Source organism: Homo sapiens, chromosome 5 (assembly GCF_000001405.40).
Source record: "Homo sapiens chromosome 5, GRCh38.p14 Primary Assembly".
Classification (NCBI taxonomy): Eukaryota; Metazoa; Chordata; class Mammalia; order Primates; family Hominidae; genus Homo; species Homo sapiens.
This window is the reverse complement of record NC_000005.10, coordinates 153640344-153656678: the sequence shown is the minus strand read 5'-3', so window position 1 is coordinate 153656678 and position 16335 is coordinate 153640344. Positions and strand designations below refer to the sequence as shown.

At 40.6% G+C, this 16335-nt stretch overlaps 1 protein-coding gene across 14 annotated transcripts in view; it reads right to left on the bottom strand.

The window, feature by feature from the left end:
• The window catches only part of GRIA1 (glutamate ionotropic receptor AMPA type subunit 1), a 324255-nt gene that overhangs the window by 157191 nt on the left and 150729 nt on the right, over positions 1 to 16335 (bottom strand). For 13 of the 14 annotated variants that reach the window (NR_157093.2, NR_047578.2, XM_047417128.1 and 10 more), the window contains 3 exons: positions 9512 to 9751; positions 6165 to 6349; positions 807 to 860 (listed from right to left, as the gene is read on the bottom strand). Coding sequence is in view for 12 of the 14 variants with exons in the window: in XM_047417128.1 (XP_047273084.1) it covers positions 807 to 860; positions 6165 to 6349; positions 9512 to 9751 (479 nt within the window). In the remaining 2 variants the exon portion in view is untranslated. The remainder of the gene's footprint in view (positions 1 to 806; positions 861 to 6164; positions 6350 to 9511; positions 9752 to 16335) is intronic. The other variant, NM_001258019.2, reaches the window with a different exon arrangement.

Here is a 16335-nt window from a genome sequence, read left to right as displayed (position 1 = left end):
GGGGCTAAACACCAAATAAAAATACATTTGGCTTTGGATAGAAAAGCTAGAAGAATTAAACTTCATGACAAAAAAGCTGGAGGTACAAAACATGACCCAGAAAAAATAGACTTGACAGAAATAATGGTTACAAAAGAAAACTCATAATAGTATGTGCTACTAGGTAAAATTTAATATATACAAAAAATGATTTGATGAGTTGTTTTCTTTGTAATATAAAAAACAGTAGCACTCAATACAATGATCTGTAGTACATTAAAACAAATATATATATATATATATATATATATATATAAACAAACTTATCTATGCCATATAGAAAAGTGAATATAAACTAAATGGACATAATATTGTTCATGCTGGGAAGTTGTTTCTGGTTAAAATTTTGTCAATACTAGTGTAATTATGATGTAAATGTATTTATAAGAAGTAAAACTATCACTGGGGTCAAAATGGAGGACCCAAACCAGTAAGATCAAGACATCTTGCATTAATTCAAAGATGTGGTGATTTTGTCCCTATTGCCAAGGGGCAGAGCCAATTAAAGCTGGAATTGTGAAGATGATAAAGCCGTGCCCACCAGTATGCTCTCTTCCAAGGAAGGTTAGAGGTTCATGAATAGTGTGTTGTGGTTTGATGAGTGGGATGTGGAGAAGATAAAAATGTAGTATTGCCAAGACTCATTATTACAGCCCTGAATTGCCCCTTCCACCTACTCAGTTCACATCAGCCAGGGACAACAGAAGCAAGGTAGGGCCCCAAACCTGGAAAGGACTTGAGCTGAGAGCCTGCAGTGCTCTACTCACCAGATTTGCAAGAATGTAGTGGTAGCCGATGCCATTCTTCTCTAGCTTTATAATCTACAAAACATAATAGGTGGAGACTCATTAATCATACTAACAGTTAAAGCCACGACAACAACAGTAATAACGGCAGCTGATATCGAGTGCTTACAATGTGCCCTACCCTAAGTACTAGAACTACAATATCCCAACCATCCAATGATGGTGGCATTGTTAGCATCCTTATTTTACAAATAAGGAATAGGCATGGACTGCCTATTATATAACCTCTGTAAGTTGTAATCTTACAGCTACTAAGTGGCAGATACAGAATTTGAAATCAGTTTTGTCTGATTCCAAGGGTAGAGTGGTGTTACTGTAACCCCAAGGACCCATCTGAAATGCTCACTGCGTTCTTTCTTTCATAAACCTTCCTTGTATGTGGAGATTCTTCTTTAGGTGGGAATTTTATGTTGCATGAAATCTGTCATGACAATATTCGCTGATTGGAAAAACAGATGAGTTAATAGATGGATGGTGGATGAATGGTCAGATGGGTATGTGGATGACTTCACCTTCAATTCCTTGCATGAACCATATATAGATGCTCTTCTTTCTTTTTCTGAATTTTGTGCCTTCCTCCCCGAATCAGTTAGGTACTCAGACATTAATGGATTGCCCAACTTAGAAGCTGGAAGGGAAAGTTAGGATCATCTGGTCCAAACTCTCACTGTACAGATAGGAAGTCAAGACCCACAGAGGGAAAATGCTTTGCCCAGATCTGATAGTAGCCTGGTGGCAGTATCAGGACAGGGACCTGACTCCTGTGAACTTTTCCATTTGATGTTTGATTATGGTTAATCATTAAGAACCAGTGTCAATGAATACCCTTTTATCCCAAAATGCAGACTATCCCTAATCATCACAGGTAGAAAAAATATTTGTGGAAAGAACTGCCCAGAAGTTTGCTTGGGCAGGAGACACACCTAATAATGAATGGTTAAGACTACAGACCTTGGTTTTAGATCTAGCTCAGCCTGCAGATTAACTAGATCTAATTCCCTATTTTTTTTAATCATCAAATTGGGGTTAGTGTACTCTGCTCGGTGTCTCTCTCCCTGCACTGTTGCAAGGAGACATATAACAGATGATAAGCACTTGGGCTTCTTCTCTAACTGAATAAATTTTCAAGGTTATTAAAATCCACATTCAGACATCTACTTAATTGGATGTATGTGCATAGTGACTCATGTTTTTTTATGTGGGGAATAATTAAATGCAAGCACACACAATGAATTCTTTGAAATAGTGGTTAGATTGTGAAATTCCAGACCACGGAGCTCAAATACTATTGGGATGATAGTTTTATTAATAATTCTTCGTTACTTTTTCATCTGCTTGTCAAATGGTTTGCTGCCTTTTCAACAATGAGACACCTTTATCAAGAACCTATTCAGCTTCTAATAAACACAAAACAGCAAAGACATGATATTTTAAAACCAACCACATTCAGGCAATGGAGAAATATTGTCCCCACAAGATGAAAGTACAAATTGAAACAAAGGAAACAGCTGATAACTGATGACTTTTGACTTATAAAAACTGGCAATTTCATATGATCCAACCTGATACCAACCTTCCCATCTATCTATTCCCCAACCTATACATTGACCTTCCCTCCTCTAATACCTTCCTTTCACAAATATGTATTAAGAGCTTGCTATGGGTGAAGCACTATTGGCAACACAGTGGAAAGGTGAAAGAAGCATGGTGCTTGCCCTCTTGGAGGTTACACTTCATTGAGAGGAGATCCATAATAAATAGGTGAACAGATAAATATATACAGGGTAACAAACTGAGAAAGGTGTTATAAATGTAAGAAGCAATTTCACAAGGGGTCCATCACCTCACTGACCCCCATTACTTCAAAGCTCATTCCCAATGCATTGCCTTCATTCACAATATTTGTGTCTGAATGGCCTCTCCCATTCTCTCTGATTGTTCGTATCCTTAATGGCTGAGCTCCAATCTCAACTCCTCTGTAAAACCCTCTATGATTAACTAATTAATCCATTCAACAAACATTTATTTAACATAAATTATATGCCAAGCACTATGCTATGTGCTGGGGAAACAGCATTGAGCAAGTGAGGCAAGGTCTCTGTGCCCTCATTGAGTTGAGTTAACATTTTAGTAGGGTGCCAGATGGTCAATATATAAATAGATAAATGAACAAGATTTCAGCAGGTACAAGCACCATGAAGACAATAACATAGGGGGATGTGATGGATAACCTCAACAGGTCCTGGTCTATTCTCACTTCTAACTAATTTTGTGCTTAATGACTGTTTTATATGCTTTGGCATCATATATTGATAAAGTATTATATTCTAATAATCCTGTTCCTTGCTCACAAACCTTCACTGACTCCCCATTGTTTACAGAATAAACCCTAAACTCTTTCTAATGGTTTCCAAGGATATTCTTGATTGTGTGTTTATCTTCCTGCCATCCTCTCCAGTGGACGCTCAGCATCCATCACTCAGCCTGCAAAACTGCAGTATGAAACCCAGCCCTCACATGCCCTCTGGGCCTCCTGACATGCCTTTTCCTCCATCTTAAAGGCTCTTATCCAGCCAATGGCTATCTATAGAAATCCAGATTTATCTTACATTTAAGAACTTTCTTAGAGGCTTCATTGATTCCTTATTCTTTTAATTCACTGAAAAGAATGTATTGAATACTTTATTTGGTGTCAAGCACTATCCAAGGCATTGTGGACTCAGCAGGGAAGAAAATAAAACAAAAATCCCTGGCATCGTCGAGCTTAGATTTTAGTTGGGTGGGGGCTGGAGACAGACACAGGCAGTTAATTCCCTATTTGGAATTTTGAGTCACTGTTTTTTTCCTCAGATTAGGTGGAAAATTTTGTGTTAGACTGTATGCAGTTACTGAATGTAACTGTATCCCAGGTACGTTCCCAGTTACTGAATGTGAGATAGTCCAGGATGATGCTAAGTGTGAGATTGTAAGTCAGAGATATAAGTTGTAGGCTCATTACTGTCATTCATTATTTGTCTAAGGCAAATAACTTAATCAATTTGACCGTCAGTCATTCTATCTATAAAATGTAAGCATAAGCAAAGAATCAAGTGATCTGTAAAATCCTTTCAACTCTTTGGTCTTACTTTTCAAAATAGATGAATGAAACAATTTTAAAAAATGTCAATATGCTACAATCTAAAATACCCATACAAACGGGTCACTTCTTTACAAAACGCAAGTTTGCCCTTTGAGAGAGGAGTTAATTATAGATAGCAGAAGCAGAAAAGTTGCATTTTTAAGAAGCTAGGCTCTTTGGCCAGACCAAGATAGGTTTGACTTCCTGCTTTTATCATATGCTAGCTGTGAGATGTTGGGCAAGTATAATCTCTCTTTTCTTCATCTATAAAATAGGGGAATTGAAAAAAGCTGTTTTACAAAGTTGATGTGGGAATGAAGTAGGATTATGCATGGGAAGGTCTTGGCATAGTATCTGGTATACCATACACACTAAAAAAATAGTAGTAATAGCTACTGTCTGTACCATAGAACAATATACAATAGGTCATCTGTCTATTAATATGTCATTATCATTTGGCACTTTTTCCATCGACTATGTTATCTTGCCTTTTTATCAGTTTTATAGAACAGAGGCCTTCATTCACATTTTACAGATGGATTCACTTATGCCCAAGGAAGAAAGTGACTCAAGAAGCTGGTCCTAGTAGGCACTAGGAATAGCAAAAATAGGCAAATGCTTGCTTGTACCACTTACTGTGGGGCAGACTCTGTTCTAAGTGCTTCACATATATTGATTCTTTTAATTCTCACAAGAGCCCTCTAAAAGTGGCTATTATTATGATGATGATGCCCATTTTACAGATCAAGAACTTGAGATGTAGAAAGATTAAAAACCTGGTCAAGGTCACAAAGCCAGTAAATACTAGAGCTGGGATTTGAACCCTAGCCAGTCTGGTTTTATCTCTGCTCTTAACTATTATCTTATCCTGCCTGAATTGAAAACTGCAATTCAAATCCCTGACTCCGGCCCAGAGAACTTCCATCTCAAAGGAACAAGTTTTGCTGGGTTTCTCTTTCCAAGAGGGAAGGCCAAATTTGTACTTCATAAAGTAGAACAGTTAGTGCCTTAAAGAATCCATAACATTCAAACTCTGTCTGTGTTCTATTGCTGAGGCCTCTGAGTAATAGCTGTCCTAGTACCAAGATTCTCTGTGAGGGCCCCAGGGGTCTTGAAGGCCATTAACAAACTTTGTCATGTTGTCAAGTACCTAAAACTATCAATTTTATTGTATGACATTGTTCAAAAGTTATTGCAACGTCTGCTACCTTGCTAGCTCTGAATCTGAATACATAAATGTAGTTTAAAAAGATAAGGAATCTACAAAAAATCCTGCTAATTCTGTGGTGGGCATGTGCTTTTGTTTTGAGACCAGGGGAAGCACAGTTTAGAGAGATCTAGCTCAAGACTGTTGAAGTTACAATGCCTGTTTATAGAAGAATGTACTGTCAATTGATTTCTCAAAGGGAAGGGCATGTTCAGGGAAACAATGGAAATAAAGGTGCCTGCTGCTTCCTTAGCCTTTCAAAACAGGTAAGAAGGTGAAAGGAATGAGATGCCAAACCCTGGATCATGAGTGACAGAGTCCAGAGTCGAACCCAGAAATTTGGCCCTATAAGCTGTGTTCCTAATATGATAACATTTCATAAACTCTAAAATGGAATGTAATTTATCATTATTATTTTTTATTATTTTTCGAGATGGAGTCTTGCTCTGTTGCCTAGGCTGGAGTGCAGTAGCACAATCTTGGCTCACTGCAACCTCCACCTCCCAGGTTCAAGGGATTCTCCTGCCTCACTGTCTCACCCTCCTGAGTAGCTGGGATTATGGGTACATGCCACGACACCAAGCTAATTTTTTTTTTTTTTTTTTTTTTTTTAGTGGAGACAGGGTTTCACCATGTTGGCTAGGCTGGTCTTGAACTCCTGACCTCAGGTGATCCGCCTGCCTCAGTCTCCCAAAGTGCTGAGATTACAGGCCTGAGCCACTGCATCCAGCATTTTTTTTTTTTAAACAATAGAGGGATACATTGGAGTTAACAGGTCTGAGAACCATTTGAAGCCCTATGTCAAGGCTCCCATTGTTTGTGCTATTTCAGAATTAAATTTTGTGAATTATAGAAAATGAGATAGAGGTCTTTTAGTCTCACCTAGTCAAGAACCCTCTTTATAACCCTCTTTATAACACCCAAGGCAAAAGTGTGTCTGGCTATTCCTGAATCACCTCCCGCACCCACCCTGAGCCCTTGCTGCTTTCACTACCTGGCCCAAGATAGCATTGAGGCGTTCTGATTCACAGTCCACCACCACCAGCCGCTCCTTTTTCTTCTCCAGGTCCTGAAAGAGCATCCGGTATCCCTCCTCTGTGGTTGTCAAAATGTTGACTGCTGTCACCTGCCAGTTCTTCTCAGCAGCTGTATCCAGGACTTTCTGCAGGACGGATAAGCCTAAAGTTCAGATGAGTAGAAGAGAAATGACAGACAGTCAGGATTTGTGGGCACCACCCACTCCCATCAGGCACCTACCTCCCCTGGCTACCCCCAAACCCACTCTTCTGCCAAACTCAGTTCTAGTTTTCTCTGGCTGCAAAACTCTGAACTCTGTGAGATCAGACACTGTGTTTCTGAACATAGATGGTAGAACTAGTGATTAAAAAACAATCTGAGGCTCAAATCCAACATATGGCTAAATGGCCTTGTGCAGGCTCATTAGCCTCTTCAAACTTTAGTTTCTTCAAAGGTAAAGTGTGGTGTAAATAATGCTCACCTCATAATGTCATTATGAGGATTAAGTGAGAATGTTTGATACATAGCAGAGCCTGACACCTGCAAGGGTTTTATAAATATTAGCTGTTAGTTTTATTCGGCACTCAGTAACTGCTTATTAAATGTGCCAACCTAGCATCTAAATGGTCACCTAATAACTGCTGATCAAATTTGTGAATGTTCAATATAGTATCTTTAATACCTAATACTTTGTCTCTCACACAGTAGGTGTTTAATATGTGTCCTGGCAGGCCAGGCCCAGTGGCTCACGCCTGTAATCCCAGCACTTTGGGAGGTCGAGGTGGGTGGATCACCTGAGGTCAGGAGTTTGAGACCAGCCTGGCAAACATGATGAAACCCCATCTCTACTAAAAAAAATTACAAAAATTAGCCAGGCATGGTGGCAGGTACCTGTAATCCCAGCTACCTGGTAGGCTGAGGCAGGAGAATTGCTTGAACCTGGGAGGCAGAGGTTGCAGTGAGCCCACATCGTGCCATTGCACTCCAGCCTGGGTGACAAGAGTGAAACTCTGTCTCAACTAACTAACTAACTAACTAACTAACTAACTAAATAAATAAATAAAATGTGTCCTGAATTAAACTACTCTCTTCTGATCTATAGCTAAATGAGTAGAGAGGCCATTACTCAATGCTGCTTTGTTTCTTCTTGGAGAATTAGATGGTGTATTAGTTTCCTACTGCTGCTGTAACAAGTTATCACACACTTACTGGCTTAAAACAACACAAATGTACTATCTTACAGTTCTTGAGGTAAGATGCATGAGATAGGTGTCCCAGGCTAAAATCAAGGTGTCAGCAGGGCTGTGTTGGTGTCTAAAGGTTCTAGGGAAGAATCCACTCTCTTGCCTTTCCAACTTCTAGAGGCTACCTGCATTTCTTGGCATATGGCCCCTTCCATCTTCAAGGCCAGTAATGGTGGTCGTCTTTCTCACATTGCACCACTCTGACACTGACTCTTCTGACTCCAACTTCCACATTTAAGGACCTTGTGATTACATTGTGTCCCCCCAACATAATCCAGGATAATTACCCTATTAAAGGTCAATAGTTTAGCAACCTTAATCCCAACTGCAGCCTTCATTTTCCTTTGCCATGTAACATAGACATATTTGCAGGTTCTAGCGATTGCAACATGAACATCTTGGGGGGGGGTGTCATTATTAATTATTCACAGATATTATTTTGATCTTGCATGGATTAATTTTTTGTATGTATGTCATTTCTGACTTTCAGTAACACAGTTAACCTCTTCCACAGTGACCAATATGGTATCTGGCCTCAAGAATCATCTGCAGATTGGTTCTGCTATGCCTTCCTATCTTTGTTTCCTTTTCAGTGCAAGTTGTTTGGTGAGTTTGAGACCAACATTTACTGAAAATGTACTGTGTGTCTGGCACTGTTCTACTGGTTTTAATCCACTTAATCTTTCAAGGTAGATACTATTATTATCCCTATTTTATAGTGTGGAAATTGAGGCTTAGAGAGATTTAGTCATTAGTCCAAGGTCACACAGCTGACAAACGGCAGGGCTCTGAGCTCTGAGTTCTGAGGTAGGTGGAGCTCTTTTGAGAGTGTGGGTGCTTCTGCTGACCCCAGAGATGATCTCCCACAAGCAAAGGTACATTTTTCTGGCTTTATTACTTCCAGGCCTCCAGCTACATTATGCTGCAAAGCTGTCCTGAAATAGACTTCCAGGTGACCCCTGCAATAGTCACAGTCTGAGAAGGGAAGTCATCAAAGTGGGGACAGTGAAGAGAAAATCAAAGAAAATAGGGTGTTCCTGGTTTCTTCTGTTGGCTCCTTCCCATCTGAACGACGCCTGCCTAACTGCCTGAAAAATCACTTTCACAAACCTCTCTCCAACTCAAAAGTTTTCTAAGACTCCCTGCAGGCAACCACATCAGTACTGTACTCCTCTGTCTCACCTTTCAGGTCTTGCGTGACCCATTTATTTGTTTACACCAGTAGTGAATAAATTATTACAAGACTATTTAGTATACAATGAGAAGGTAGGACAGTACAAGACAAACATCACGGGAGTTGGAGAGAGTGCTCCCATCCACAGAATTGGGGAATAGGGACATCCTGCAAAAGAGGAGAAGGATTTACAGATGTAAATTGGAGAAGGGAAGTGCATTCCAGAAAACTGGAATAACATGAGTAAAGACATAGAGAAGAAAAAGTATAGAAAACATTTGGAAAATGTGATGTTAAATTCAAAGGAGGAAGAATTAGAAAGCCCAGAGAAGGATGAAGATTATGATGAGGAGGATGATGATGATGATAACATCTAAAACAGAGAAAGAATTTTGAGTTTTTACTATGTTGTAGGCACTGAACACTTCATAGTCATCTCATTCAGTTTCACAAAACCTTTATAAGATAGACATTGTTTTTATCCTCATTATAGACATGAGAAAATGAAGGCATAGAGAATTTTATCCCCATTATATAAGTGCTGAAATTGAGGCAGAGAGAGTTTGTCCAAAGTCAAACAGCTGGAGAGGACAGAACCTAGGTTTCAGATCCAGATCTGCCTGACTCCAAAGTCTGAGGTCCTTTTGCATTGAGTTTGGACTCAGGAGCCATGAAAGCTTAGTGAGCTGTAGAGTGACATGGTGCATTAAGAGAATTATTCTCAGAATGCGTTTCCAAACTGAATTAGAGGTCAGCTACTGATAAATCAGTCAGATTTCTCAGAAATAAAGCATTTTGGATAATTTTCCCATATTTTTCAGGGAAGCAGTGAGGCATCATTCTCCTTTCTGCTGGTAATTTTCTCTCCATCCCTCAAAAGTCTCCCTCCCCTAACCCTTGGCTTACCCCGGTCGGCATCATAAATGTAGACAAATTTCTGCCACTTGTAATGGTCAATGATGCTGATGAGGGCATCCTGCAGTTCAGGGCGCAGCTGAAGGACAAACTGATTGGATGTATCAACGGGAAAGCTCGGCGTAATGAAGCAGACGTGGAGGGCCCCACAAAAGGAGGTCAGCATGTTGACAGTCCTACGTTCATAAAACCCAAAGATGGCATAGACTCCTTTGGAGAACTGGGAACAGACTACAAGAGAAGAGAAGGATTAATGAATAGAAGACTGCAAAAAGTGGTCAGATGACTCCAAAATGAATCCATCCACTAGTTCATCCATCCAACCCATCAATTATCCACCCAACTGTCATCTATCCATCTACCCATCCAACAAACCAATCCATCCATTCATCCTTTCGACACACCAGTCTATCCAACTGTCCATCCATCCTACCCATCTAACTACCCCACTCACACATTCACCTGTTCGATGCCTCATTCATCTGTGTAAATCCAATTTTATTAGATATCTATTAGAAGCCAGAAGTTGTCATGGTTATTAATTACAGTAGCCATGTATATAAGACACTTTCATCTATTACCTTACTTGGTCTCTACAATGACCCTATTGAGGCTAGAAAGGGATGACTGGGTCATTTTTTTAAAGGGGAGAAACCAAGGCTCAGAAATTTAATGAACATATTCAAGGTAGCACAGCTAGGACATATGACTTGGGCAGATATTCTTGACTCTTAATCTAACGATCTTCCCCTCACATTGTCTATCAATTAAAGGCAAAGCATAAAAAGGTGCTACAGGAAGAATCCAGCTATTGCTGCTAATACACGTTTAAGAAAACAAGTGTCGATTTTCCCAGTCTAGCCCAGCCCTTAACTCTCAGTGTTCATTTGTCTGCTAATGTTCACTTTGTGCTTGTACATCTTGCTAGCTGATTTTCAGACCCCCCAGTGTATCAGCCATAGTAATAGCTTAGCTGTGAGAACATACCCACAGGACCGATTCTGTAGAATCCCAATGCAGTTGCCAATCCTGGTTTGTGGTTGATTATACTTCTAATTAAAATACGATGCTAATAAGACCAAGGTCATGGGATTAAACTCCAAGTCAGTCAGCTCCTAAACTTTGTTTTACTATATGATATAGGATGAGAGTTCATAATCTTTGCCCCAGTGAGACCAACCCCAAGGCCATCTTCAATGCCTAAAAATTGCCCTTCCAAGGTGGATGGTGAGGAAAGTCATTCATCCTTGTCATGAAAACAGTATTTTAGAGTGCTTTGTGGTCCTTTTACATATATTAGGCTATTTAGTCCTCATCACATCCTTGTGACTTAGGTATTATTATTTTTTTCTTTTAAGATAAAAAAGTTAATGCTCTTAGATCCTTTACTCTTTTTACCATATCACCTGTTTCCAGAACCCCACATTGCCACTGTGTATGGGATCTCAAATTACAGTATGCGACCATTGCCCAGAAGGTTTCATGAAACTATAGCCCCACAAGATGCTCCTTAAAAAATAAGTCTTCTTTGGTCAAATACATTTGGGAAATGGTGCATACTTTGTCCCTGTTTTAGAGTTTCATACTTCACATTAGCTGCATAAAAGATTGTGAGGAATTCTACCCATTTTTATCCCAGATTTTGTCAAATCTATTTGCCTCCAAGACCTTTTTTTGGTGAATACTTTTGAAATGTTATTGAAAATCTTTTGGCCCATGCTGCAATAAAGAATGCAATTAACCAGTGGTACCTAATTGTCTACTGTGAGTCTCCATTTTCTGTTAGTCCCTAGAGAAAATGGGCTTTAAAGGTCATAATCTCTTAAAGATTGCAGCTGAACCATATAACCCATCTGTCCTACTCCCACTGAAAACCAGCATACCATCTGCAGGAAACCTGGCAGGTGATCATTAACATCTGCTTGCATACTTCTAGTTACTGAGATTCTGGTTTCACACAATTCTTGCTCTTGACCCACTCTATAGCCCTCCTGGTATCTGAAGGTGGTGTTCATGGCCTTGAGCTTTAGGACATTTGGTTTTCAGTGACAAAATCACTTCTCTACCCAGAAGCCAGAGAGATCTTATTTAAACAACAAAGACAAAACAAACAAAACACATTGTTCTTTCTCCTTGTACAAATCCACTCAAAGTTTTCCCATTGCACACAGGAAAAGTCTCAACATCTGACCATCACACAGAGCATGAATAGCCTGCTCCTCTGACTTCACCTAACTTACAACCGTCTTCTCCTTGCTGCCTGCTGTAGCCACACTGGCTTTCACTCTCTTCCTCTGGGCTCCAAGCTCATTCTGCATGGGAGACTCTGCACCAGCTGTTCCCCTCCTTCCTGCAATGCTCTTCCCTTACCTCTTTGCAAACATCACTCCTTTGTAGCAGTTGTGCCTCAGCCCAAATCTCACCTCTCTGTATAGATCTTGCTTCATCACCTCTTCTAAATAGTGACCCCTCATCAGTCTGTATCACATCACTCTGTCTTATTTCCCATTCTTTAATTAATCTAAAATAATTTTCTTTGTTTATTTGTATATATGTGTGGCTGTTTTAGTCAATGTGAATTCCCTGAAAATTAGGACATGCTTCTTTGTGCCCAAAAGCCAGCAGAGTGTCTGGGACATGGTAGATGCTTAATAAATATTTGATAAATAAATGAATGATGAGTGCTTGATGAGGGCATATGACCTGCAGCAGGGGCTGAGGAGGAGCTGAACCCAAACAGAGATGTGACTGTTGGGTCACCCTGAACTAGTTGCTCCCCTGCCTGGGTTGCTGTCTTCTAAGGTAGCCATTTATCCTCTGCCACTCACACTATTTTCTCCTCCACCCTAATGAGTACACTCTATCTATCCACAGCCCACAATAGGCACTGTCTTTAAATGTCTATTATAATAACTAGAATAAAGATTTCCATAAATATGATTTCTCTACCAGGAAGCATACATCACATATTATTCTCCCAATGTTAAATATAGATTTGTCAAAATGCACAATCCATCATCCAGGGTGAAGTGTATATGGGGAGCACATAAACCTCATTAAAATATTATAATATACTCTCTACAGTATTTTTAGGATCTCTTCTCTCCCCTTGCTGCAATAAAATATTATCCTACAGGATATAAATCTTATGATCCAGATCTATTCCCTCATGTCACCTACTTGGTTTCACACATTTAGTTGGGCCTCTGGGGCCCTCATGGATGGTGTTTCTTGCTAGGACTTTAGAAGTGAAGTAGGAAAGGGTGAGATGGGGGTGGACGAAATGGGAGCAGGCAGACACAACAAATCCTTAGACACACAGGAGGCCAGGACATTTTCCCCTTCAAATTATCTCCTCATTTTCCCCTTCTGCAAACATCTCTTACCTTAAACAGAGTGCTTTCTCCTCTAAGGCTAAGAGGGTGCATTTACGCACTACTCCCTAAAAGAGCATGGCTTGGAGGTAGCCTGGCCTGGATTTACTTGAGTGAACCCTGGCTCCCAGAGTTGCTCAGTGCCTGACTGTCAGACCATTTCTACACTTCAGCCAAACTTAAGCAACAGCAGAGAGAGAGGAAGTAAAAGAAAGAGAGAGAGACAGAAACAGACAGACAGACCCTATAGGCCCAAGGCCTGTGGGAGAAGGCAGTCATTGGTTAAATGTTGATAAATATAATTAGTAGTTGTGAGGTATTATATCTACTTTGAATCTGTCACAACCAATATTCAATCAGAAGAGATAACATGGTTCTGTAGACAAAGTACTAGGCTAGCTGTCAGAAGACCTGGACGATTCTCTTTTTGGTTTTATCATTACAGAGTACTTGTATGACTTTAAGTAAATCCCACGCTCTCCTAGGCCTCAGCTTTCCCATCTGTGAAATGATTGTTTGATCTCTATAATGCTTAATGCCCTTTCAGACTCTGACATTCTAGAGTCTAGTCTAATTGATTGGAAAATGTTTACTGATTCGACAATATTTTAGTTATTTAGTCAAATTCTAGCAACCCCCAGTGCACTTTTTCAAATCCAGTAAGCAGGTAAGTCTCTGAGTTCTTGGATTCCCTTGTAACAAAATCCTGGGATCCTGCACTGTCCCCCTCCTGCCTGCAGCCTGCTTTTCTTACCTCTTTGCAAAGATCACTACTCTGCAGGAGTTGTGCCTCAGCCCATATCTCACTTTCCTGAACAGATTTACCTTTGTGACTTCTGAATAGATGCATTTGGAGTCTTAAGTGTTAAGACACAACTTTTAACCTGCTATGTGAATAAGTTACCCAGTAGAGAGATGAAAGGAGGCAGACTAGAAAGGGAGCCAGAGATGGAGACTACATTGTCAGATATGACAAGTAGGAGAGAAGAGATGGGGCATTTTTCAGAATCAGAACTCTGTGTGTACTGGGTTAATGCACAGACTTCCATCATGTTGCTGGGATGAAACACAGTATTTGCCATTTAGAAAGCACTTGAATATGGTGTTCTCTTTCTTCCTCTTCTTCTTCTTTGTTTTTTTTTTTTTTCTGAAACAGGGTCTGGCTCCGTCACCTGGGCTGGAGTGCAGTGGTGCCATCATGGCTCACTGCAGCTCCAAACTGTAGAGTTGAGATCTCATTATGTTGCGCAAGCTGGTCTTGAACTGCTGGTCTCAAGCGATCCTCCCACCTCAGCCTCTTAAAGTGCTGGGATTACAGGTGTGAGCCACTGTGACTGGCCTGTAATGCTTTCTGATAGTAATAATTAAGAGCTGATACTTCAACACCTGCCAAGTGCCAGACACTGTGCCAAAGACATTTCTCTACATTAACTCCTTTCATTCCCTGAGGTGGGTTTCAAATTGGAGAAGTGAGGTCTAGAAACAGCACAAGGCAAGTTGAGAGATGACCTCTACCAGTCTGACGACAGAGCTTGAGTCCTTAATGTCTGTGATATGTCATGGATGTTTGAAATAGTCTTGGGACATGGGTCAGCTTCAGTTTCTGGAAAATCCTCTCATGTAGCACACTGTCTTCCCCTGATGCCAGATAAAGAGGCATTACTACATTAGAATCTATTGAAATATAAGCAAATAAAATTGAGTGGTATGTTTGATGTATTCCTGTCTCATCCCTGGGAAGTCTATACACATACACACCTATTCTTTGGTCCATCTATCCATCCACCCACCATTCGACACCCAGTATCTGGCATTTGTGAAGACACTATGTTAGGCAATGGAGATACAGTGGTAAACCAGCCCATCCCCAACCACTTTGGGATTGTCACTTTGACAATGGGAGAGACTGACAACTATGTAGGCAATAGCAATTCAGTCTACATGCTATGTTAAGGATGAGTTCAGCAGGCAGGGACACCTAACCCCATCCTTTGGGGACCTCAAAGAAAGCTTCCAAGAGGAAGTGCCAGCTTTGACACTGAAAGATAAGGAGGAATCAGCCAGGAGAGAGGTTTTGGTACAGTTACATGTGCATAAAGAGTACTGTATATGGGTAGAAGGAAGAGCAACAGCAAAGGCCTGGCAGAGATAGAGAGAGCATTCAGGGAGCCCTGCCAGAGTGTCAGATTCTGAGGGCCCTGCCTCCAAGAAACTCTGTAGCAGAGCGTGTCCAACAATCAGAGTAAGTAAAAAACGAGGCCAGGAATTCCCTCTTGGGGAAGCAGGAGGGCAGGAACCAGTGAGAGCAGGAAAACCCACACACTGCATGGCGTGGGCTGTCCAATTCTATCCTCACCTCACTCAAACCTCTTTGATAATCACTCCTGGTTAGGGCACCATCCACTTAGTATCAATAAATCTCCCAGCCCTGGGTACTGGCCCTGACAGCTGTCTCCCAGGGAGGGAACTCCTGGCATTAACAACTCCTTTTTTATTGTCACTTCATTTAAGGCCTCTCACACCGACATTTCTCCTTGGCTCCTGTCCCTGGGAATGTGGCAGCCTCATTGTAAATAGCAGATAATGAGGTGACAGGACAGCTTCATTTTAGGGGAGGGAGATCAAAAGTATGTGTGAATGGGGGGACTTTCAGGCACTCATTCCCCTCCTGGAATAATTCTATCCTTATTGGTGGGAATCACATTCTTCATCATCTTACTCTAACGTTGTAACATCAAGGGATGTGCTTCATTTCCATCACTCAGAGGACAATAAGAGTGCCTGTCCATCCCTTTTTATATTCTCTTGTATCGTAGATATAATGCTGACATGCAAAGAATTACCATAATAGATATAAATCATCCCAAAGCCCTTAAACAATATCACATTTACTTAGGATTCTGAGACACATCCAGGGTGTCTGTCATTTACTAGATACAATGTTATCATTTATTTAGTAAATTCAACAGATATTTATTGGCACCAGAAACTAATATTGCCAGAAAATTGGGGTACCACAATTACACAAGACAGACATGTTTTCTACCTTCACAGAGCTTAAGCAAGTGTTCAGTGAGTTTTACATTAAGGAAAATAAAGGGTGATTTGAGAGAGTAATAAAGGGATCAGCCACAGGATAAATGATCATAACTGCTATTATAGTCAGTGTTAACTGGGTCCTTTAGCAGAGGCCGGGCACAGTGTTAAGCACCTTGTTCCTGTGTCTAGATAGAGGGACCACTTTATCCAAAGCACCAAGATAAAAGAGAAGGGCACAACAGAAAAACTCCAGAAACACCAGTATGACTGGGGTCAGGGTATGGCACAGAGTTGGAGATGGGTGGGGACTAGGTTGCCAAGGGCCTTGCCCGGGCTGGAGAAGTTAGGTCATTGTGTCATGTGTCAATGTAGCATTTCACTTTGGTTTTGGATTCATTTGAG